The 25,516-nt window shown below is 38.1% G+C and overlaps 1 long non-coding RNA gene across 1 annotated transcript in view, besides 1 other annotated feature; it reads right to left on the bottom strand.

Annotated features, from left to right (window-relative positions):
* Positions 1-2,614: 2,614 nt before the first annotated feature.
* Positions 2,615-25,516, bottom strand: part of LINC01592 (long intergenic non-protein coding RNA 1592) — a 192,388-nt gene continuing 169,486 nt past the window's right edge. The window contains exons 4-5 of the long non-coding RNA NR_039986.1: positions 15,199-15,307; positions 2,615-4,352 (exon numbers count right to left, since the gene is read on the bottom strand). This is a non-coding gene — a long non-coding RNA (long intergenic non-protein coding RNA 1592). The remainder of the gene's footprint in view (positions 4,353-15,198; positions 15,308-25,516) is intronic.
* Positions 16,266-16,810: an enhancer, noted in NCBI's record as "OCT4-NANOG hESC enhancer chr8:69837689-69838233 (GRCh37/hg19 assembly coordinates)". NCBI's record gives its function as "activates a minimal SCP1, AML or CMV promoter by ChIP-STARR-seq in naive and primed H9 embryonic stem cells {active_cell/tissue: H9 hESC(naive and primed)}" and the evidence as "EXISTENCE:reporter gene assay evidence [ECO:0000049][PMID:30033119]".

Here is a 25,516-nt window from a genome sequence, read left to right on the forward strand (position 1 = left end):
CTTAAGTACCAAACCTCATAAAAGCCATTTTCTTAGATTGATGTTCACAGCATATAATCTGGAGAAGGCCAGCTCTGTCAAACAGAAGGACTAAGCAAATGAAAATAAACTCAGTGAGGAAAGAGAAGAAATGTTTTGAGTAAGTTAGTCAAGCTTGGAGACACAAAAATCAAAGTAGTTTCATGAAGAATATCTCATGAGGTCTGTCTAATATCAGGAACTCTAGACAAGATCCTTCTTTGAAGACCCAACAAGAATTTGCTCCAACTGAGACGGATATTTGGATACTGTCCTTTTGGAACTCCTATGCAAGTTGCCTTGTGAAGGCACGAAATGTCCTAATTGTAAGATCCTTTCTTTCCAAAGTTGACCCATCTGTTTTCCTGCCAGCTTTGCCCTGCATTTTCCCATTTTATTAATACACTATTTACTGATGACATTTGGCCAGAATTTTGTTAAAATTCAATTACTTTTGTTTTCCTGGTCCTTTTCTGCCCCTGACGTCAAACCTGTCATTTCTACAGAATTTTACTATTTTTACATTCCTGGAACCCATAATCTTGACTTTGTTCCTAATTCTTGCCCCTATATTAACTTATCTTAGTATTTTTAGTCTTTCTACCTCTCTCACATTTTGTTCACAATATCTGTTCATTGTTAGCCATCTAAGATTAGACTTCCATTGAGGTTATTTTGGTAAGTGTTTTTCAAAGACACCACTATATAAAATGTGGTAGACAAGTAAAATTATTCTTGGCTCTTTGCCATGAGAAAAATATACAGAGTTTTCCACAAATACCAACTCAGACCTCATAATGTTTCTGTCAAATGAGGTGTGAAACAATCACAGATATACATCAACCAACAGATTGAGTATGGGTGTTTTATTTTACCAGAAACATGGTAATACCTATGCTTTAAATCAGAAACTCTGAATGTTTGAGTCCATGGATTAATAAAGTATTTTTCAAATAAATTCCAGGCAAAGTTTCCAGGGTATTAATGGACCTGTGTTACTAATAAAGTATTAGCAACATCATAATATTTTTATAATTGGAATATAATGCTTATAATTTTAGTGTTTCTGAAGCCAGGGCTATTGAAACTTGTCCCAAAAATACCCCAACAAAATAGGCTATTTTGAATTGGAAAATATTGTGTAATCTCTGAAGTGTATCATCAGATTTTTTAGATTGCTGCAGTACTCCTGTTTTCTCTTCCAAATGTTTCCACACTTAACTATAAAAGATTCTTTGTTAGTATTATTTATAGGAATTTATATTGAAATGTTTGCCCTTTTTAAAATCAGAGATTCTTCAATAGAAAAATTTGTGTTTACTCTATGTTATCACATCACACCTGGCCCTTTATCACAGGCCTAATTCATTTGTAGTTACTATATCAACTTCTGGTATTTATAAAATATGGGATTGCTATGTAATACTTCTTAAATTGCTTATTTTTATCACCTGATGACACTAATTTTTAATGACACTTGGATGTCTACTCTGGATCAAGATGTTTTTCTTGGATTAATTTAAGAAAAAATTGAGCATGAGGCCGTGTGTGGTGGCTCACACCTATAATCCAAGCACTTTGGAAGACCGAGGCGGACAGATCATCTGAGGCCAGGAGTTCAAGACCAACCTGGCCAACATGGTGAGACCCTGACTTTACTCAAAATGCAAAAATTAGCTGGGCATGGTGCCACATGCCTGTAGTCCCAGCTACTCGGGTGGCTGAGGCAGGAGAATCACTTGAATCCGAGAGGCAGAGGTTGCAGTGAGCTGAGATTGTGCCACTGCACTCCAGCCTGGGTGACAGCAAGACTCCATCTGAAACAAAAAAAAAAAAAGAAAAAAAAAAAAGAAAGAACTGGGCATGAGGATTCTTAGAAGGGTCTTCGAGACTGGGCCAGTTATTGAAGGTTTTTTAACAGCCTCTACGTAAAGGTCAGGTAGGTGGGACAAAGCTCACAGTCTCTAAGAAGCCAGTGTAGTGCTTTCAGTTCTGAAGGAAGCCCATATAGTGTTATGCCAAACTAGGGAGTGAAGACTTTGAGGCCCCGCTAGGAGTGCCCCGATGAGTCGTGGTGATGGCTAGATAATCAAAAACTCAGACTTAGGGTGGTTTGCTCTATCTAGACTGCCCAGAAAACTGTGGTTCCTCGTCTCAAATCTCTCAACTGCCTTCTTCTTTTTTACAGAATTCTACTTTCAGATGATTTTAAAAGCCATTTTAAATGTCATTTTCCTAAGAAACATGAATAAAAGGGATTTATCCATATTGTCAAAGTTTTAGTTAATTTATACTTGAAGTTTACTACCCACAGTTTCAGAAGATCGTATGTAGTGTTCTAATGAAACGGAATTAAATTAGAAAGCTCTATTTGAGATAAACAGGTGCAATGAATACAAGTTTCCTTTGTAGCTTCTGATCCTACTTGATATATTTCACAATATCTGTCACATGTTGGCTTCTGTTTATATTTGTTGAATGAATAAAATGTTGATCGCTTAACTAAATAAAGCAATGCACAAGTTATTCAAATGTGATAGTAGGCAAAACTTTGACCTTTTTTTAATTTTAAAATTTTAAGTTAATTTATTTTTTTCAGCTTTATTAAGGTATAATTGAAAAATTTTAAAGTCTATATATTTATGATGTACATGTTGTTTTGATATTTTTATACATTGTGAAATGATTAAATCAAACTAATCATAATATCTATCACCTCACATATGAATCTTTTTGTGTCGAGAACATTTAGGATCTACCTGAAAATTGCTAAGAGAACAGAACTTTTTTTTCTAAATGCAATTAATTTTATGCTATATATAGGCAGTTGAAATTTTGAGCAATATATTTAAGACTTCATTGTTTCTGACATGTCACTGAGTCAGTGGCAAGAGTGACAATACCTGTCTCAGTCTCATGCACTAATGAAATGGAGAGAAATTTTAAAGTATTTTATTTTTTTATCTAAGGATTGCTTCTTTCCGAAGGCAATATAGATTAAGATATTGAGGAACCCTTAAACCTAATATGCCATACTGCTTTTCTTTCATTCAAAATGCCCAATAACAATAGGCTTAATTTTTTACTGCTTATTATTTATTAAATGATAGAGTTGATGTTATCAAAATTAAATCTGAACTCTGAGGAGCAATCCCAGGCAAATGTGAATTAGCAGGCAGCATCTCACCTAACGGAAATGTCGGCTGAATGTGAATAATTTCAGCTTCGTCTGAGTGCTACAAATGAGCAGCTATTTTAGGGCCAACATTCAGCTAAGGTGTTATCCCTATACTTCTGCTATGCTCTGAAAGAAGAAATACATGGAACATAAATATCCAATTACAGAATCTACAGGGCAAATCTACTGAGCCCTGGGACTGCTAAAGTTGAATTCAGGCTACTGGCCTTAGGTAAATCAAAATTTAGCAAAGAGACTTGAAGTCTTTCTGGATATGAAACAAATGACCCTAAAAATTCACACATGAGCTAAGTTAAGTAAAGGTTTGTTTGTTTTGTGTTTAGAGGCAGGAATCTGAGAAGAGAGGAAATTTCAGGTCAAATGGTGGCAACACTTGGGAGTTTTGAAACTCCAGGATATTGACAAATACACAATGCTTCTCTGAGAGTTCTATTTGGGGCTCAGGAAGTGTAGGTGACCATTGATGTGGTAGTGATAACAAATGCACAAAACAATCTGCTTTATTTTTTGAACTTGAGATGTTTGGTTAGAAAGAAATGCAAGCTAAATGTTGAACTCTAAATTTTACCCATTGGGTATGATTGTTGAATGACATCTCAAGGTGTTTGAAGAATTATCATTATTTTTCTTGAGTGAATTACATTTTTGCAGTGAATTTTAGTTTGGGGATAGACTAATACTATTTCCTAGTAGAAATGTTGGATACAAAATGCGTTAAATTAATTGCAAATGAAGTTAAACACAATCTGCAGTGTTGTATACTTATGTGCACTGAGGCAGATGAGGATATACTTTAACAGGTGGTAAAACAAAGATGCATTTTGTCTGAGGTTTTGAGAATTCCTGAAAGTTATAGCTCTGAGTTCTCCGTCTCTCTGCCGTACTGAGAGTTGAGGTTGAGTTGGGGTTGAGTATGGTGGGCTGAGTGTCCTGACTGCCCACACTTGAACCACTTCAGTAATTTCTGCAGAACTCAAATGCTTCTACTGCTAGGATTTGGAAGACAAAGGAAAAAACCGCTTTTAATCCTGGAAATGGAGTCCTTGACTTTCTTCTTGTCCTCTTATCAACTCATTTAAAGCTAAGAAAAATTCTCTTTATATATATTATGTGATGGAAGGTAAAGATGACACCCCTAAAAAATCGGAAAAAAAGGAATAAATGCTGTGTAAGAAAGAAATCACCAATAATCACCCAACTTAGAGAAAATAGTCTCACTTCAGCTTCAAAATCTGTAATGGTACCCTGGAACCTAATGCATAGGCAATAAGAAAATAAGGAAAATCAAGTAGAAAGGGATGTTTTGTGGGTTTGTTATCTTTAGTATATAATACACTTTATATAATGAATATATAATTCATTTTACTTTTAGTAAATAATTTATACTACATAATTCATTTACTTTTTAGTATGTGATTCATTTACTTTTATGTTTTTAAAATTCAAATTTTGAAATGGCTGTCTTTAAGAGCCAGCTTACAAAATTTCTGTAAGTTGAGCAATTAGCTCTCTCTTCAGCAATCTGGAGTAGACCATTTACACATATACCACCCCCAGCCCCGGTCCCCACCCAACCCCAAGTGCAGATAAGGAAGGAGAGATAAGATAAGAGCTGGAGAGATACAGCTCCCAGATTGTGTGGAAAGAACCAATATGTTGTCTGGAGAGAAAGAAAATCTCCAAAGGGAGAAGTAAGGTGTTTAGCCATGTGAGCCTCAACTTTGAGGTGGAACTAAACATCTTCTTTGCTTCTGATTATTATGACTTCTCCCAGAACCACAAGTGAGAGGCCATTCATGAACCACCTTGAAGGAGTCATGTTTTATAAGGTTATGTGAATTGTGAAAACAATACCCATGGTTCTCTAAGTTGATTTGAATTCAATAGAACAAATTTTGAAATGGATAAAAAGGGCTTTTATTTGTGGTAGAAATTATGTTTTAAAATGACAAGTCCCTGACTGCTACCAGACCCCACTCTTCAGCCTGAAAATGAGCTCCTATAAATAACTGAAATCTGAGAGAATAGAACCAATTTCAGAGTGTTTGTGTATCTGCCATACTTATCTTTGTATGTTTCCTTAAAATCTTTCAGTGTCTAGACATATTTATTTCAGTAAATTAGAATATGAGTTGACTTCTACTTGTGAAACATATGAAATGATGTGAATGGGATGAAAAATGTGTTATCAATTAAAATTTCATTCATGAAATTCTATACAACATGTTCATAACATAAATAGCTGCTTGTTTTAATTTTCTCAAGTTAACCTAAATTAAAATGAATCCCAGTAAAACTGAGGCTGTAAAATATTTTATCATGTATTTTATGCTGATAGTAAATGCAGCAAAATATGTGTAGAATAGCACACCAGGTTCGGACTCTAATTATTTCTCAAGCAGCATCTGTTACGCAGACATTTAAAAAGATTCTGTGTCAATATTGTATACAATCTAACTTAGGAGGAAGTTCTCTGATGTTGTCATTGTTGATTATTGTAATCCCAATTATCCTTCTCTGGCCTTGTTTATTTCTAGTTAATAGTGTTCCCTCTTCTTTTTTTGTTTAGTTTACTTGCTGAATTTTTCATAATATCCTGTACATTCAGAGTTAAAAAAAAATCAGCAAAAATGTCAGATTTCTTTTTCAATATTATATATGTTTTTTTGTTTTTTGCAATAAACTTAAAATGTATTTACTTTTAGAAATAATTGTGATTAATAATGGGTGATTCTTTGGCCCAAATTGTTAGAAGTGTAAAGACTTTGTGTGTACAGGAAGTGCTAGCTTTATGAGGCAAGTTATGTTTGCCTTTGAGCTAATATCCCACTTCAAGCTGAGAATTCCCAGAAGTCATTCACATTTAAAGGGGGAGACTACTTCTAAGATGAATACATCTTGAAGCTCCAAAAGAATCAGCTTTAATGGTGGAATGATAGGCCATGGAGCTGCTATTTTGATAATGGGGCCCTAGTGATAGCCACTTAATTGAACAATGTTGATGGTTCCCTATTACAAATGAGATCTCACTTGTCTGAGACCCAATTCTGTGACCACCAAGCTGAACTGGCTAGAATCCAATGAGGAGTGAGGTGGGGAAAGGTGTAAGAGCACATTAGGAGAGGTTAGCCTGTTCGTCCTTCTACATAATCACATTAAATTGCACTTTCCAGGTCATAAAATGAGTATTTCCTAATAATTTTTTTAGTTATCAATATACTTTTTAAATGATCTATGTTGCAGTGACTATGGCTACAGCTGATTGCTATTATGTTCCCATGGCTGGCATCAAAATAGAGCTCTGGGTTCAAGACCAGCCTGGCCAACATAGTGAGACCCCGTCTCTACTGAAGTGGAAAAAAAAAAAGCCCCAGGCACTCAGGAGGCTGAGACAGGAGTACTGCTTGAGCCCTGGAGTTCAAGCCTGCAGTAAGCTACTATGGTCTGATGGCACTGCATTCCAGCCTGGGTGACAGAGCAAGAGCTTCTCTCCTAAAAAAAAATACAACTCTGGGAGGCTAACTGAAGAAAGCGATTGCTGATTTGTTGAATACGTATGTGGTTCCCTTTTTCTAGACAATAACAGCAGTACCCATGCACAAGAATGTAGTTTGTGATGACTGCTCTTGCAATAAAGTATTTTGTGTGTGTACATAAAGTATTTTATATAGCACGTAAGCATTTATTTGTTCTAGGCAATTATCTGAGGCTGTGAAGTTCAAAGAATTGTGCAGATGTATCCCAAAATAGCATCTTCCCACAAAGACCAAAAGGTGATGACGAAGGATCCTCTTAGTGTGCAACAGTTAACTATTTCTTATTCTCCCATGTAGCCGGGGAGGGTTTTTACAGACATTAATTCATAAATGAAAGACAGTTATGATGCCATGTGGTGCAAAGCTAATTGCTCTTCTGAAATAAGTGAAGTTGAGATGTTTGATCCAATCCTAGAGCAGAGGTTCTCAAAGTGTCATCCCTTAACCAGGGGCATCATAATTACCTAATAGCTTGTTAGAAATACAAATTCCCTGGGCCCCACTCCAGACCTACTAAATCAAAGGCTCTGGGGCCAAGCCTCTGCCATCTGTATTTTATTAATAACAAGACTTACATGGTAAGATTTGAGAGCCACTGCTCTAGAGCACTCCTTGCCATCAGGAAAAGGATAGAAGTTAGTTAATTGGCAGCCAAAGTATGTTAGGTATGAAAATGATCAGAGAGCATTGACCTAAGACAGGCTCAGACATTTAGCTTTTCAGGCCACCTTATCTTGGATAGCTCAGACCTGGTGTTCTTTCTCTTTCCCCGTGGTTGTCTCCTATTTGAGAATTCACTCTGGCTTAAGCCTCATCCTGGCCTTGAGGAGTCCAAACCTTGATTTGATTCCCAGTTCCTGTCATCTTATCCAGCTCTGATTCTGATTTACAGACATTCTGGCCTTATATCAGCTCTGCCCAAATCCCAGAGAGCAAAGCTTTAGACTCAATCTCTCTGTAGTTTCTTCCTGCTATATTGCCACAAATTCACCACTGTCTCTGAAGACACTCTTTGCAAAGTTAAAGAGGCAACACCTGGCCGTAGGATGGAAGAAGGCAGAAACCTTTTTCACTCACCTCTCTATCCAGTGAGATGCTAATAAATGTTTAACAACTGATTATTTAAAAAAGCCCTGATTTGTAGTAGTTGATTTCTGTGGTGTAAGTACTCCCAACATAGCTGATTCAAGTTACCAGTCGATGACCCTGGTAGCTGCGATGACACTGAACACAGCTAGAGTTGGGAAGAGATGTGCACAGTTGGCTCTGCAAGCCTGTGGGAGCTGGCTCCAGGACAGCACAGCCTCCATTCCCACCCTCTACCCAAATCCCTGGAAAGAGAGGGTGCTGGTAAATAAATATTTAGTAAATGAATAAAAATGGAGAGATCAGTGCAAACCTTTAACCACCACCGGGAAAGCAACTCAAGGTGTGTGTGTCATTGGTGAGGAAACATGGCATCTATATATGCGGGTAGTACATTTTGCTTTACATTCTTATTCAGGCTTGAAGAATAAACAGTTGACATCAAATTGCATAAACATTTGTCACATAATAAAAAACAGCTATGCTCTTGTAAATAGCTATTCTAACTCATCCCAAAATGATTCAGTACATGTAATTTAATAGTTGTATATCATTTCAAGGCAGACATGGTCTATATTTTAACTTGTGTAAGTGTTTGAACTTGTAATTGAAGTGAGATAATTAAATTGGTGAGGCTGGCATTTGTAGACATAACTTTTTCCCTCTTTTTGGCTCTTCCTAAGGACATGCAATGTGATACAGAACTCACTATTTAATAGAGGCCTAGTCCATTTCATTTAAAATTAGCAAGGGCTCATGTGCAAAGAGTCATATTTAAAATTTTTAAATATTTATCAATAAAGATTTCTCCCTGAACTGCAAAGGCAAATAGTATTTATTTGCCAAATGTTTTCAGAATAAATGCTTATTCTTTAATAGAATTTTAAAACATGATTTGAGAAGAAAGTTATGCTTTTTTTTCCCTCTTAAGAGTAGGAGCTGATTTTTTATGACTTCAAAACATGTATTTTGACTAGGAAACTTTTGTTAACTTCTCTGCAATTAGATAATAGAAATCACCGCTGTTCCTCATTCCTCTGCTCAGTGCTTCCACTTTTTAAATGCTCCCCGTAGGTGTTCATGTTCACTGGTATTTTCTTTCAACAATTCCTGTAAGTTACCCTTTCTTTGTGGATAAGTAAGAGTTTGCAAAACTTTACACCCTTATTCTTCAATTAAATACCGACATGGAATGGTGGTGTCGAGCATGCTAATCAGCAGGACCTCCCTGTGGGAATCTGTGCTAGAAGACTGGTTCACATTGAAGGCAGACAGTACTGTTGACACTGGCTGTCAAAAAGGTTTCACGTCTTTGAAAGGAAATCTTAATCTTCTTTATTCATGTGTGAACAGGTCCAGGCCCCCATCCCGGGACTCATATGCATTGGCTGTTTAAACTACAGGTTGCTAGGCTTTGGGCTAGAGTCTGTTTGCCTGTGTCTAGTTCCTCCAAATGGATGAGGACTGAAAATTAAAATCTGTCTGACACAGACCATGGCTTTTCAGTCTCTGTTTGAAGAGACATGGCAACCTAGGGCGAAATGAAAAGGAATTTTATTGAGCGCAAAACCACTCGATGTTTAAATGTTGGAGGCAGGAACTGAATGGTGATTTGGGGTAACTCGTAGATTGTTTATAGACAGTGGGATGGCTGTCAATCAAGGCACAAAGGCAAAATTTGTGTCAGAAAAAAAAGTGCTTTTCTAGTGGCTGAAGTCTTGTTTCCTGTTAACAGTCTCAACCCCAGAAATAAAAAGCTTTTTTTTTTTTCTTGAAGTTTCCAAGCACACAAATTTCAGAATAACAGAGATGCCTTACTGATCTGGGTGGCACAGTTTAAGGCTAAGTTATGCCCAAAAGACCTCCTATGGAGTTTCTCTGCTGCATTTGAAATTTCTTCGTTTTGGTCATAACTTGTTTCTGCAGTTTTCACAAATAGAAACAGAAGAAGCAAAGATGTAATCACCAATTGGAAATCATCAAAGATATTTGGGGCCATATATACTGTACCACTTTAATAACCTAATTCAAAAAGATCTTAGGCATACATTTGATTTTATTTTTAGAACCCATTTCTTCCTAGAAATTAGGCATTTTCTTGAGTGCTCTTTTATATCATTAAATAAACATTTTCATTGTTAACACTGGTAGTGTTAACAAAATATATATATCTTTTGAAAAATTAGCAATACAAATTAGAATTTTCAAAATAAGTTTTTACTTTATGCTCCTAGAGAAATTTCAGGGCATGCAAGTAATATATATTACATTAACCTGGTGGGTAGTTAAATGTGTTTCTTCATCTAATGTAAAAAAATCTAGATTTGAGATTTTATTCAATAATGATAGATTCCAATGGAATCTTGAATTCTGTCAGTATTTCTTAGACTTCTGTGCATCTATAGCAAGCTTTTCCTACATATATAAAGATAACAGGGCTGGCTCACCAGTACGGAAAGACATGTCTGTTGGTGCACTTTTAAGATGGTGGTAGATTTGCTCTGTTGGGTACACGCTTCAACCCAACTCTGTTTTCAGCTGACACCATGCATTTGTCAAAGGACTGTTCACGGATTTCATCCGTGGCAAGAGGAGCACAAGAGGAAAGAACATTAGCAAAAATCTTCTCTTGTTATTTTTGGTTTTAAGGAGTGCTCATTAATCATATTTGTTGTTTCCTACCAACTCTGACCAATTTGAGAAATAGCCAAAGGATCAGGTTGGAATAAAAAGTTAGGCAAAGCCAGATTGGAGAACAAAGTTTATTTCCGAGAAAGCTCAATCAAGTTTATGACTACTTCCCTTGACAGAATTTTCTTCTCTAGTACCTCCCTGAGTAAATCAAAATGTTGGTGAAATTTCTTGCTTTATGGCTGTGAGTAGGTTTGCCAGATGGGTAAAATAAGAGGTCTCTGATAACTGGAGAAATTTCACAGAAAGCGGCCTGGCATGGGGCTGGGGTGAGGAGGCAGAGGAGATGTATCAAATATCCTAGAGGTACTTTGGTTGGCTTGAGCAACCATCAGAATTACTGGAAAATTGAATGGATATTTAATCCATCCCATCCTTTTTATCCAATTTGGTCATTTTCACCCATAATAAGAATGACAGGGGAAGAATTGGAATCATATGGCTGGGATTCTTCTCCTAGCCCCCACATGAAGAGCACTAACACCCAGATTCCCTGACTCCTGTCTGTTTTTTTTCCCACAGGCAAAGTCTTTCTCCTTAACCAAAGTTTAGTCAGTTCCTCTGAGCCCTCTTCTCAACTAGGCCTGGACCTTGGGCTTCAGTATCAATCCCATTGGGCCTGCTGGGCCTACATCACTCAGTTTTAGCAAGAATTCTGCTAAGTCAGTTTAGAGAGTATCTCCTACCCTTGATATCTGCTACACCCTCAGTATCAAATTCTTCATTTCTCACCATCCCCCAATGACATCTGATCACTCTGACCTGCCTTCAGCAAAAATTCTGTTAACTAAGTTTAGCAAGAATTCCCTCTGCCCTTGATGTCACCTCTTAGTAATTTTCTTATCCACTGAACATCCTCCCCTCACAACCTGTTCTTCGGTTATAAATCTCCAGTGGTCCTTGTTATCTTTGTAATATTGAGCCTAGTTTTATACTAAGGTCTATTTTCCTCTATTGCAGTTGTTCCTGAATAAAATCTATTTTTACCTTTTTAACTACTGACCAGCTCTAGTTTTCTGTAACACCAGCACCTCAAGCATCTCTATCAGCTATCCAGTGGGAAGAGATAAGAACATTCCTCGTCTATCCATGAAGCAGAGAATTACTGGCTTCATTCCTCTGAGGAAGTCCCTAAGACTCTGGAAGTGAAGATAGGTTTCTATGCAAAGTCTCAATGCTGATTAAAAAAAAACTGCAGGATGGGGGCTACAGATATTGCTAGAACCAGAACTGCAAAGAATTGCAAAATCCTTGCAATTTTCCATAGCCCCTTCAAACCTCCATAGTAAAGGAAATTTAATGGCCCATGCATATATATTTCCTCAGGAACTTGGAACAGCAGAGTTACCATGTCTTCATGTTGGCATTTTGGATTATTAGTTTTGGCTAATTTAAGGTTATTAAATCCCCCTTGAGCTTCAAGGAGGGCAAAAAAAAAATCATGAATGTAAACAATGTTAATACAGTAATAATAATGTGGACTCCCTGGGGATTAGGAGGAAATATTTAACATTCCAGAAACAAAAAGTTTCTTGAAACAGATTCTTCTTTATGGTATGTGTGTGTATGGTGGGGGGGGGGGCAGTGTTGTAACAAAACTGTCTGCTGCCTTTCAATTTTCTTGTTCCAATGCTATTACTACACCCTTCAGGAGTTTTCTGTGCTACCACTCATTCATTGCTCCCTAAAAACCATAATTTACTATGTTATCACAAAAGACTGGGAGAGGTTTGCATCCTTGGACAGGAAAACCACTCTTGTCTCATTTCTTGTCTCATTACATCTGCTGTCTCTGGACCCACACATATCATCTTTCCTCATTCTTAAGAAAATGGAAAGTGTTTGAGTGATGTAAAGACCCTGATTTCCTGGGTTTCTCTAGATTTTTATTTCTGGTTATAAATCAACCTTAAAAAATTAATCCAGCATTTGAAATTATCTATGACATTACTATTGATTCCATCCCATCTTATAAAGGTTACTTTTTCCCCAGCCTAGACAACCTAAAGACCTTCTGAATAGCTACAATGCAGACAGAAATGAAAATCAAAGTAAACTATCCCAAACTACAGATGCTAGAAAAGAAAAAAATTATATTAGGTTTTTCATGTTTCAAATCAAAGGCAAGTTTTTTTTCTTAAAAACAAAACTGAATATGAACTTCTGTATATTTCAAATTTATAGACTGTAATAGATAATTTTTGAACCAAAATGATAATATCACTGAATATGCATCTGTGGAAAATGATCCTGACCCGTCCCCACACATTTCCCCATATCCACCCCTGGCCCCATCCCCAGCCAGAATCCTCTGAACAACAGGAAAGGGGACCAGAGCACAAGCATCTTATCTTTGGCCAACCATCACATTTATTCCCTTAGTTGGTTACATTTTTAGAATTTTTGACCCTCGGTATCTGTTTCTTATCATGGCTTCCATCAGTACTTTCCCCAGTGCCTTGGGCATCTTTTGATTTCCACTGTCTCTACTCTCACTCAGGAATTTCCTTAAAGCTTTGTTAAATAATACACTGGGCTAAACATCAGGACCTAATATGGTTGGGTTTTCCTTGCTTTGTGAGACAATAGCATCATTTCTCAGATTCTACATCTATCTAGTTGATCCTTACAGAAGTCCTGTTGAATACTGAAAAGAGAACAAACATTCTTCCTCTATGTGCAATGGAAAAAGGTGTGAATAAATAACTCTGGTCTAAGACCTAACAACCTAATGATCCAACTCTCCCATAGATGAAACTTCAGACAGGGCCTTGACCTTTCTGGTTCCTTTCAGTCACAAGAACAGACTCATTTAAATGATTAAGAAGTCTGATCTTAATATTATCATTTCAGTTTTTATCCAATGGAATACTCCTTCATTTCCCCAGCTTGGGGTCACTTTAGGCTTAAAAGCTTTGCCCACTCTAGTCCCTGAAGCTGGTATTGGTTTGGAGTTTGTGTGGATGGGTGAGTGAGGGGTTAGTTGAAATTTGGGGTGTTGGCTCTTACTTCATGTGTCGGTTCATAGGTGCACTGGAGATCCAAGTGGGAAACTCTGACCACAGTTCCCTTAGTCTGGCAGCACTTCTTCAGGCTGGCCGTCCAAAGTCCTTTAGTATCTGGACTTCCAGATGTTCACACCTATCAGACCCAAGGGTTCAGAACCTCTAGAGGTACTGCATGGGCTTGGATGTATTTTATAAGCTCCCAAGTGATTCTAGTTGAGACAGAACAGGAACCCCTCTTAGGGGCCTGTGGGATCCCCCCAGGCATGGAAATAAAGGAAAATCTTGGGTTCCTCCGAGTGAAATTTCAGGTACCTAGCTAGACGTGAGAAGTAAATGAGCAAGTTGATAAGCAAGAAGGTTATATAGCTTAAAACAATAGCCAAGGAAGTTAAGGTCACAAGACATTTGGTTCTCCTGTAGAAACTAAAGGTAACATCTTAACATATGTCCCTGAATTGTCTTTGAAAACCTGGATTCCCCACTGAAGAGACCCACTGGCACATAGACCTCAGATGCGGGGGAAACTGAGGACTGAACTCTGACCGCCGTTCTTGGTTCTAAATTTCTTTCTAAGGGGCCTGGAGGAGGTCATGCTCACCAGCCAGAGCTAACATTCTTTTCTGTTGACCCCCAATTTTTAGACAACACTTCACTTCCTTATCCAATTGCAAATCAGAAAATCTTGAATCTACTTCTGGCCTGTGGGCCCCTGCTTCGAGAGGTCAAATCAACGTACAGCCTCCATGTGTTGATGTATGACTTTGCCTGTAACCTCTACCTCCACTCCCTTTAAAAACCCTTACCTGTAAGCCATTGAGGAGATCAGGTCTTAAGAATGAACTGCCTAATTCTCCTTGCTTGGTGCCCTGCAATAAATGCCTTGCCTTCTCTCATGGCAGTCCTGATGTCAGGGTTTAGCTTTGCTATGCCAGGCAGGCTGACCCCAGTTCACTTTGGTAACACAGTCTGCAGTCATACCTGAGATCTATGGGTTTAAACCCAATTCAGGAAACATTTTTTATCCCCAAACTTTACCCTCCACCCTTGTACTTCAAAAAGCAAAATCACTTCTATGATCTATGATATGGTGGTCTCTAAACCGCCTACTATATATATATATATACATTTTTTTTTTTTCTGAGACAGGGTCTTGCTCTGTCTCCCAGGCTGGAATGCAGTGGTGCAATTGTAGTTCACTACAGCTTTGAACTCCTGGGCTCAAGGGATCCTTCTCCCTCAGTCTCCTGAGTAGCTGGGACTGTGGGTGCATGCCACCATGCCCAGTTTATTTTTTCTTTTCTTTTTTCTTTCCTTTTCTTCTTCTTCTTTTTTTTTTTTTTTTTGTAGATACCAGGTCTCACTGTGTTTCCCAAGCTTACCTACAAAAACTTTTATTACTAAAGAGAGCACCAAACGTCTCATTCTAAAATATCTGCATTCAGGTTAATAAGGATCTCTCCACCTTCCCATAAAAAGGTGCATGTTTGAAGTCTGTGTTTGAATATTTAAAGTGCTGGTTAGGGTAGCTTGTTCAAAAACAAATGAGCAGTCATGTTTAGAGGAAGTAAATTGCTTGCAACTTTGAACCCCCCGCCCTTACTCTGACTTTCATTGCTTCAATTCCCCTTAACTTAGTAATATTTTTTAAAAGTTATGAGACCTGGCATCAGTGAAGGTACTCCAAAACCAATAATTTTATCTCTGGGTGCAGCAAAAACAGTGTAGTCTTCTGTCCATTAAGGAGATGTGAAGCTGCATTATTTTGGCTCCTATAAAGCAAAGGAAGACAAAGAGAAATCATCAGTTTAATTGTAAGTCATAAGGACACCATATTTGACCAAGAAGCAATATCTACATCTTTTACCCAATAACAATGAACACCAGAGGAGCTGTGACTCATTTAAATAAAATGTCCTTACAGATGATATTCTTAACTGGTAAAGGTAATTAAGATTAATTTTCTAGGAATACCAAGGGAACTTCACTTGCTGTGATAGCCTTTCTGCAAATGTCAAATGAGTGTAAGCCTTGTTTCATTTAATAGAGTGTCCTCTAAAAGATATTTCGAATGTGGGAGTAAGTGCTCTGTTAAAGGGCAGCATCTGTGCTGTTTATTTTCCCAAATATGGGTTTACACAGAGCATTTAAATTACCTCAAATAAAGGCAAAGGATAAAATATTCTCATATACAGACAGACATGGTTCTTTCCATATGGTACTAGGCTACATATGATTTCAAAAAGCATATAAATTGCTGGCAAGTTTGAAAATTGATTGATCATAACTTTGTAGACAGATGAACTGAAATGTTCAAACACTCTTTTTGGTGAAAACCTCAAATGAGAATTCATGATTTGTCATATTGGGATAGTCCTAGAAAAGAAAATACAATAAGAGATCCACCGAGTTCAAAAACAAAATGGAAACTGTGGTTCCTGGCAGAAACAACTCAAGCCGGATACATTTTATAGAGCAAATCAAGATCTGGCTTCTGGTTAAGATGACATCAACATAAAAAGAATGAATCTAGGTCATGGGATGTCTGAGCAGGCCTCGTCAAAGGAATGCAGGCCACAGAACACCCGGCCATTTATTGCATTAAGACAGCTCATAATATGTCATCTCTTTCCCAAGCTTTCCTTCCGTTCTGTCTTCTTATTATAACCCCTCTTTTGCCTGTAGACATTTGCTTTTTTGCAAGAATAAAATCTGACGTTTTTGGAGATGGTTGGGTTTAAGCCTAAAGTCATGCCAAACCCAACCCAGAATGCACTTCCTCATCACGAAGTGATGCTTTTTTCTGTGGGAGCCAGACTACTCATTGATCCACAAAGAAACCAGCCTAGTATTTCATAACATTTTTGAAAAATGCTGTACATTACCAGGTGCTTTTGTGACAACAAGAGACCTAAACAATGAACTAATCTTTCTGAATCCATGAGCCTGTGGAGCCAACTCAATCTGCAGTGGCAACCTGTAGATTTCAGACAAAGGCTAATTGTTCTTCTTTTGTGATCATTGTGCATCTTGCTATTTGATATGGAGATGTTATTTGACAGCTGTCTTTTATTTCTCCAACTGTACAATGAAACAGCTTATTTCTGAAAATGAGGAGAGTTGAATGGTCTCAGATGGCCCACCTCAATTTCAAGAATGAGGAAGGATTGGATGAATTCCTCTGTAAAGGCTCAAGGTGACCATGCCCTCCAGGCCCTCCTTTTCAGGTTGTTGTATGGTTGAGCATAATTATTTTTGTTTTTCCTGATCTAGTCAATGCTGAGAGCGTAATTCTCTGTGGTTTTTCATAAGTATAGTATTCAGCCCTTCCAGCCACACACAAGGCATTGATGAGTAAGGAATCCTCTCCTGGCTAAGTAATCAAAAAGGGGAAAAAACTACCATAAGGAAAAATGGAAAGTTGTTTTCAGTTGGGAAAATGTGGATATTAAATAGAGAGTAATTCCACATATTGGCATTTACTTTGTGCCCATGCCAGGAACAGACTTTTAAGTGTTTTATATGCATTATTTATTTTAGTTCATAAAACACTGATGAGGTAGGCACTTTCTTTCCATATTTTATAGATGAGAAAAATGAAGTATAGAGGATTATGCTCTCTAGCATGACGTCCAAGGTCATGCTAGTGAGGAACAGAGCCAAAAATTTTTTTTTTTAAGAGACAAGATCTCGCTTTGTCACCCAGGCTGGAGTGTAGTGGCATGACCATAGCTCACTGCAGCCTTGAAGTCTTGGGCTAAAGCGATCTTCCCAACTCAGCCTCTTGAGTAGCTAGGACTACAGGTGCATGCCTTCACGGCTGGCTAACATTTTACTTTTTGTAGAGATGGGGTCTCTCTGTGTTGCCCCAGCTGGTCTCAAACTCACAGCCTCAAGTGATCCTGCCACAGCCTCCCAAAGCACTGGAATACAGGAATGATCCATTGTGCCTGGCCAATTATTACTTGAATCCAGAAATGAAGCTTTTGAAAATGATGCCCAATCTGATTATTAATTATAGAATATCTAATTCAGAGAGTTCTATAATTGGTAGCTTTGGTTTATTAGTAAAATTTTCAAAATATTACATCTGTCACATAGGTTGGTTGTGAGGACAAAATAAGATAAAGCAAAATTTCTGGCTTAATAAAAAGTAGCTATCAGCATTTTAGAAGAAATAACACAATTGTCTCTGAAAGGGGAAGAGTGACAGTATCATTGTCGAGATTATTGTTACTGAAAGCTTAGATTCTTCATTCATTCCTTTAAAGACACATGACTCCGGCTGGGCGCAGTGGCTCACACCTGTAATCCTAGCACTTTGGGATGCTAAGGTGGATGGATCATGAGGTCAGGAGATCAAGACCATCCTGGCCAACATGGTGAAACACCGTCTCTACTAAAAATACAAAAATAAGCTGGGCATGGTGGCACGTGCCTGTAGTCCCAGCTACTCAGGAGGCTGAGGCAGGATAATCACTTGAAACTGGTAGGTGGAGGTTGCAGTAAGCTGAGATTGCACTACTGCACTCCAGCCTGGTGACAGAGTGAGACTTTGTCAAAAAAAAAAAAAAAAAAAGAAACAAACAAACAAAAAACAGACACATGACTCCATAGAGAGTATTACCTTTGCAAAGATGAATGAAACACCACTGTAAGCAGAGGGACAGATAAGGAAAAACTAACAAAAGTGTGCATTTAATTACAATTTACAAAGTGCTAGGAAAGACAAGAATTGAACGATGCAAGCATCCTAGTGCTTCTGTGAAAGAGAGTGCAGGGCACCTTCTACAGGCCCAGCGAGTGTAACCTGGCACTATTTATCTTCATGGACCCTACTTGTGTACTTGCTCTGTAGAAGTGATTGGATCTGTTTGCCTTCACAACAAAAGACCAATCATATTATATTTTCCTTGTTGCTTAGAATAGTTAGGGTCCTCGTCATTTGATCTTTCTGTGCAAACTAGAGTAAACTTATGAACCTGATTTAATCTTCTCCTTTTGACAGTTATACACTTTAGCTTCTTTTTCTCCCTTTAATTGTCATTGACAGCTCAGAGATCTCAATCTCTATTAGAATTTGGAAATTGATATTTTGAAGCAAGGGTGTGTTCCTGCTGTCCATTAAAATGTAAAGGTTTTGAAACCATTTATTCTGCTGATGATTTGTACAGGGTTGCTTTTAGGTTTTCTGATGAATCCTGCCTGAACTGGAAAATCATGTGTAGTAATATATACACTGATACTCTAGGCTGTTATATTATTCTTATCATAAAACAAAGAAATGAAATGCAATAATAGATGATTCACAGATTCTAACAAATATAACAGCATGTAAGCCCCTGCACCAGACTTCCTATTGAAAGAAAAATAAATGGTGCATCTATGGTTTGAATATAGTTGCTTCAAAATTCAGGTGTTGCCAAAATAATATTATTAGAAGGTGAAGCATTTCAGAGGTAATTAAGCCAAGAGGTCTGCCTCCTCATTTGGGGATTAATGCCCTTTTAAAAGAGGCTTCAACAACATTTGGCTAGATTGCCCTTCTGCCTTCTTCCATGTGAGGAGGTAGCAAGAAGGCCCTCACTAGACCAAATTCTGGTGCCTTGATTTCGGACTTTCCAACTTCCAGAATGGTGAGAAATCCATTTCTGTTCTTTGTAAATTACCCAGTCTCAGGTACTTTTGTTGTAGTAGCACAAAATAGACTAAGACAGATGTCTTCTGAAAAATTATTTCTCTGTTATTTTTTTCTAAACTCCCATCCTTGAGTATGAACAAGAAGTTGATCCGATGCTATAGTAATAAGTTTTAAAATAGCCAATATCAGTATTCACTAGAAGATCCAATGTTATCTTGTAGCAGAATGTCTTACTCCCTAAATATAGGCTCAGTACCACATCAAGGACCAATGGATATTCAGAAATTCTATGATGGCTGAAAGGGGCTGCTTAGGAACTACAATTGGATGGCAGGGGATCTTGAGACTTTTCTTGAAGCCATGTTCATAATCACACCCTTTTATTTAAGTATGTTTGTTGGGATAGATGGGGTGGCAGAGACTATGATTACTGAATTTACTGCCCAGCCTAAATGGCTTCATAATAACATAACTCTCAGGCGTTCAATATGTGGCAGAAGCTATAAATGAGAGGTTGCAGAGAATGTTATCACACCACTCTGACACGATATTCTCAGGTGATGTGTGCTTTCGTGTGGAATAGCACCAGAGTTATATGAAGAAAAATGCTGCAAACTGTAACAAGTTTGTGCAGACAGAATAAGGAAATTGGGACAGAGTTGAAGACTTGCCAGAAGCATATGATCTGATTTTCCTTGGCTTTGCTGGACCCTGCCAAGCGTAATATATCAAGAATGTTCAGCAATATATTTTTATTTCTTTTTTGAGATAAGTTATTGTGAGTTCTTCTTTTCTTTTCTTTTTTTCTTTTCCTTTTTTTTTTTTTTTTGAGATGGAGTCTCACTCTGTCACCCAGACTGGAGTGTAATGGCACAATCGTGGCTCACTGCAACCTCTGCCTCTCCTGGGTTCAAGTGATTCTCCTGCCTTAGCCTTCTGCGTAGCTGGGATTACAGGTGCCCGCCACCACGCCCAGCTAATTTTTGTATTTTAAGTAGAGATGGGGTTTCACCCATGTTGGTCAGGCTGGTCTCAAACTCCTGACCTCGTCATCTACCCGCCTTGGCCTCCCAAAGTGCTGAGTTTACAGGCGTGAGCCACCGCGCCTGGCCGAGATAAGTTATTGTGACTTTTTCTATATATGTATTAGATAGGAAAGCAAAACGTACTGTGCCCATGATGATGCAACTGTGTTTGTGGTGAAAATGATGCTGCTGACAATAAGACCGCACAGACACTCTGCACAAACTTTCATGGTTGTCACAGGCTCTGGGTGAATCTGCGATCTCGCAGTATCTCTACGGTCAGTTGTTTTAGTTTTTCACTGGGCTGTCACCTTTGACACTGATGCTCTTGGGCAAGTTATTTCATCATGACAAATTTAGTTTACTTATCAATTAAATCGAGAAAGTTAATGCTATCCTGTGGTATGATGGGGCAGTTTGCACTGACCAATGAGAATAAGTGTTAAATTTGTGGGGAATTTTATGAGCTACTTGATATCACTAAGGCCGTGCTCAACGTGTCATGTTGGGAACAGTTACACCACAGAAACTAGAAAATGCTCAACTAGGGATCTCCCTGAGCCCTCCAAAGTGTCCATTGTTAAAGTTTACCTGCACACCCCTTGTAATATCAGTCCACTGAACTGTTGGGCAAATTGAAGGCTATAATGTATGAAAGCAGTTCCTGATCATACAATGACAACTGGAGTGTCCTCCAACAATGAAAGTTATTTTATTGCTAGGCGCAGTGGCTCATGCCTGTAATCCCAACACTTTGGGAGGCTGAGGTGGGCGGATCATGAGGTAAGGAGTTCGAGATCAGCCTGGTCAGCAAGGTGAATCGAGATCAGCCTGGTCGCCATGGTGAAACCCCGTCTCTACTAAAAATACAAAAAATTAGCTAGGCATGGTGGTATGCACCTGTAATCGCAACTACTCGGGAGGCTGAGGCAAGCAAATTGCTTGAACCTGGGAGGTGCAAGTTGTAGTGAGCTGAGATCGCTCCACTCCACTCCAGCCTGGGTGACAAGAGTGTGACTCCATCTCAAAAAGAAAAAAAAAGAGAGAGAGAGAGAAAGTTATCTTATTAGTATTAACATTGTTATTAAATACAAGGCTGGGTGCGGTAGCTCATGACTGTAATCCCAGCACTTTGGGAGGCTGAGGCGGACGGATCACTTGAGGCCAGGAGTTTGAGACCATCCTGGCCAACATGGTGAGATCTGGTCTCTAGTAAAAATACAAAAATTAGCCGGGCGTAATGGTGTGTGCCTGTAGTCCCAGCTACTCAGGAGGCTGAGGCAGGAGAATGGCTTGAACCCGGGAGGCAGAGGTTGCGGTGAGCTAAGATCACACCACTGCACTCCAGCCTGGGCAACAGAGAGCAAGACTCCGTCTCAAAAATAAATACATAAAGTAAAAGATAAAAAAAATTATACACACACACACACACACACACACACACACACATATATATAATCTGTGTTACAGACCGTTTTTGTTTTTCTACTTTCTTTTGTTTTCCTAATTACCCATCTCTCCTGGATGACTTTCCTTGGGCTGCCATAACAAAGTACCACAAACTGAGTGGCCCCAAATAACCAAAATGTATTGTCTCATATTCTGGAGACTAGAAGTGTAAAATGAAGGTATTGGCAGGCCAGGCTCCTCGGGTTTCTTCCTTGCCTCTTCCTAGCTTCTAGTGGTTTGCTGGAAATTTTCAACATTCCCATACTTTCAGCTGTATAACCCCCACCTGTCCCTTTGTCATCACATGGCATGGCATTCTCCTTATGTGTCTCTGTCTTCACATGGCCATCTTCTCATAGGGATGCCAGTCACACTAGATTAAAGACATGCCCTATGCCCGTCAGACCTCATCTTAACTATATCTATAATGAACTTTTTTTCCAAATAAGGTCACATTCTGAGGTACTGGAGACTGGAACTTCAACATACTTCTCTTGAGGGGAGACAATTCAAAACCTGTAACATGCACCTAGCATCTTTTGAAATTGTCCTTCAGCCTGCCTTTATAGCATTGCTCAGCCCATCTCTGCTTGCAGACAATGTTTCAATTTCCTTTGAGTGTTTATCTGCAACCTGATAAGATTAACTTGTTATAAGACATTTTCTAATGCTGAAAAAATTACATTGTTTCAGGTCAGTACTGGGTTGGTTGACACTGAAGAAAAGAACAACACACTTATAGAGCTAAATGTTTACATGACAGCCCAGTCTAGTCCACAGGATTTCTGTCACACCTAGCCAATGCTGCTGTTGGAGCAAGAAAGCAGCCATAGAAAATATGTAAATAGAACTTGTCTGTGTTCTGCAAAAACTTTATGTGCAATGAAATTTGAATATAATTTTATGTATCATGAAATATTATTTGTCTTTTTTCAATTATTTAAAAATGAGAAAATTTTCTTACCCATCATTTACCAAGAAATGACCTATATCATCATGGAACTACCCTAGGATCTACAGATGCCATGTTTGTATGATCAGGCATGATCATGGCTACTTACTCTGGGGTTTGTGTATCATATTCCTGGAGTATTCCCCATGTTCTCGATCCTGTGATAATACCTAATACCCACATTATGTCATTTAGCTTTCCCAAGAACACTAGGAAGTAGACATTCCTTCCTCTCAGCTGAGGAATAAACTAAGGTTGTAATGGCAAAGTGAATATTTATTCTATGCTTATCATATTCCAGGAAATTCTCTCTAGGGTGGAAGAGTTGTCCGTATAAACAAGGTTACATTCCTCAAAGAACTTCCATTCTGGGGAGGACAGATATATAATAAACAAATGAAAAATCAAGCCCACAGGATTTTAACAAGTTGTGACAAACGCTATGAAGAAAATAGGAAGGTAGATATAACAGAGAAAAAGAAACCATCCAGATAAATAATTTGGACAGAGTGTTCAAGGAAGGCCTCTGAAGTGGTAATGGTGGAGCAGAGATTCAAAGACTAAATGAACCAGCTAAGGGTAGAGTCAGGGCTTGCCTGTTGTGAGCTTACAAACAAAACAGGCCAGGCGTGGTGGCTCACACCTGTAATCCTAGCACTTTGGGAGGCTGAGGTGGGTGGATCACCTGAGGTCAGGAGTTTGAGACCAACCTGGCCAACATGGTGAAACCCTGTCTCTACTAAAAAAATACAAAAATTAGCTGGGCACGGTTGCAGGCACCTGCAATCCCAGCTACTTGGTAGGCTGAGGCAGGAGAATTGCTTGAACCTGGGAGGTGGGGTTGTGGTAAGCTGAGATTATGCCATTGCACTCCAGCCTGGGAGAGAGAACAAGACTCCGTCTCAAACAAAACAAAACAAAACAAAACAAAACAAAACAAAACCAGGTCAATACAACTAGAATGAGATACAGAAAGTGAGTAGGGGCAGATAAAGGGGGAGAGCTATACAGGACAATTTATGCGGAACCAATGAGCCAAACCAATTGATTTACTTTGTATCATCGATGCAACGGGAAGCCATTGAAGCGATTTTAGAAAGGGAGTGGCCACTGAGTGGTGAATCATTTGCACATGGTCAAATTCTGGAATCAGGAGCCCAGTGAGAAGGCTACTGTAGTAGTCCAGGAGGGAAAAATGACAGCTGGGACAAAGTGGTAACGGTGAAAGGAGAGAGGACCAGAAGGATTTAAGGTAGAACTTGGACGTAGAATTGATAGAATTTGCTGACAGTGAATTTTGGGAAATGAGGAAAGGAAGGAATCAAGAATGAGCTGCTGGCTTCCGGTTTACAGGGGTTGTATAATAGTATGATATGCTGATGTGTTGAGAGGGTGCAAATTTGGGATGGAAAATTATGACTTTTATTTTGATAGTGGCACAAAACTGAGAATTATATATTCATGTGGATATTCCAAGACAGCAGTTGATTATATGATTCTAGAATTAATGGCGAGGTTAAAATTAGAGATATAAATTTGGAATTCCTCAGCTGATGGATAATAGGCAGAGCCTCGGAACCATATGATATCACTTAGGGAAAATCTATATTTAGATTTAGATTTTCTATAAATATATAAATATATATTTATATTTTCCCTAAATGATACCATGTGGAAAAACCTCTTCACATTTCAAACTAAGTGTTTGAGTTGGGTGACAAGAACTGAGGATTAGCCAATGTGGTAAAAGCACCTGGTGTCCCAGAATCCACATACAGAAAGAGGTTCAAAGAGAAACAACATGTGAGTGAGTGTGTGAGTGAGTGAGATCTGAAGAGAAATAAACCCATTGTATGTAGTTGTGAGTGGAAAAAGTAGGGCTTAAAATCATGCCCTCTCCTCTACATCTCAAAAATCTTTCTACAATGTCATGTTTCTGGAGTCCCTCATGGATTTCCCAACTCACTGTATGTTCGGTTTCTTTAATTCAAATTCTGATGCTTCTCTTAATGTCCACAGTAGCCTCTCAATGGATATTGAAGATGATTTATTTTAAGCAACGATTCTAAGTTAATCATGCTGATGTTAATTTTAGGTCATTTCTTGCATTTTCATTTGGAGCTGATTTATTCATGCTAAAATATTAATGGATTATCTAAAATCATTTACACTCAACTACTCCTCTTTTTAAAAAATATTTCAAGATACAACAAAAATGTTTTATGTGCCCTTTTCAACTTAATAGTGTTATTCTACTTGGATGCTTAAAACAAGAAATGTGGAATTATTTATTTTTTGTTCTTTGGCTATAAAGGAATAAAATCAAAAGTAATTATAATTACTCTAGGAGCATGAGTAGAACAAAAAACTGTGGCATTGTATTGAAGAATAAAAGGTATATTTTACAGTACTTGCCCATAATTAAGAATTGTGTATCTTGGTTTTTTATGAATTTAATTGGCACTATAAAATATTACTTGTTATTATGTGAGTTAAATACTGCAATATAAAGGTTATACACTCATAAAATAGATTCACAGTTGGAAAGTAAGAGTAATTGTATATAAGATGACTGGGAGAGAAGAAAATTATGAGACAGTGTAATACTGACTTCATGGGCTCTTGTAAATTTAGAGGGATAACAATGTACCACAATGCTGCAGACTTCAATGACATTAAAGGATTCTAGTGATCTAATATGTGAGCAACATAGATTTAAGTGATCAGTAAATTACTGTTTAGTTTAAAATTAACTAGAATATTTATTACAATATTAACAGTTAAGAATTTAGAAACTTCACAATAAATGCATGACACAACTCATCTGGGTTAAAAATATAGTTTTTTTTAAAAAGGATATGTAAAAATTATTCATACATGCATACGTGCATGTTTATACAAATATATGCACTTC

The sequence above is a fragment of the Homo sapiens genome, chromosome 8 (assembly GCF_000001405.40).
Source record: "Homo sapiens chromosome 8, GRCh38.p14 Primary Assembly".
In the NCBI taxonomy this organism is placed as follows: Eukaryota; Metazoa; Chordata; class Mammalia; order Primates; family Hominidae; genus Homo; species Homo sapiens.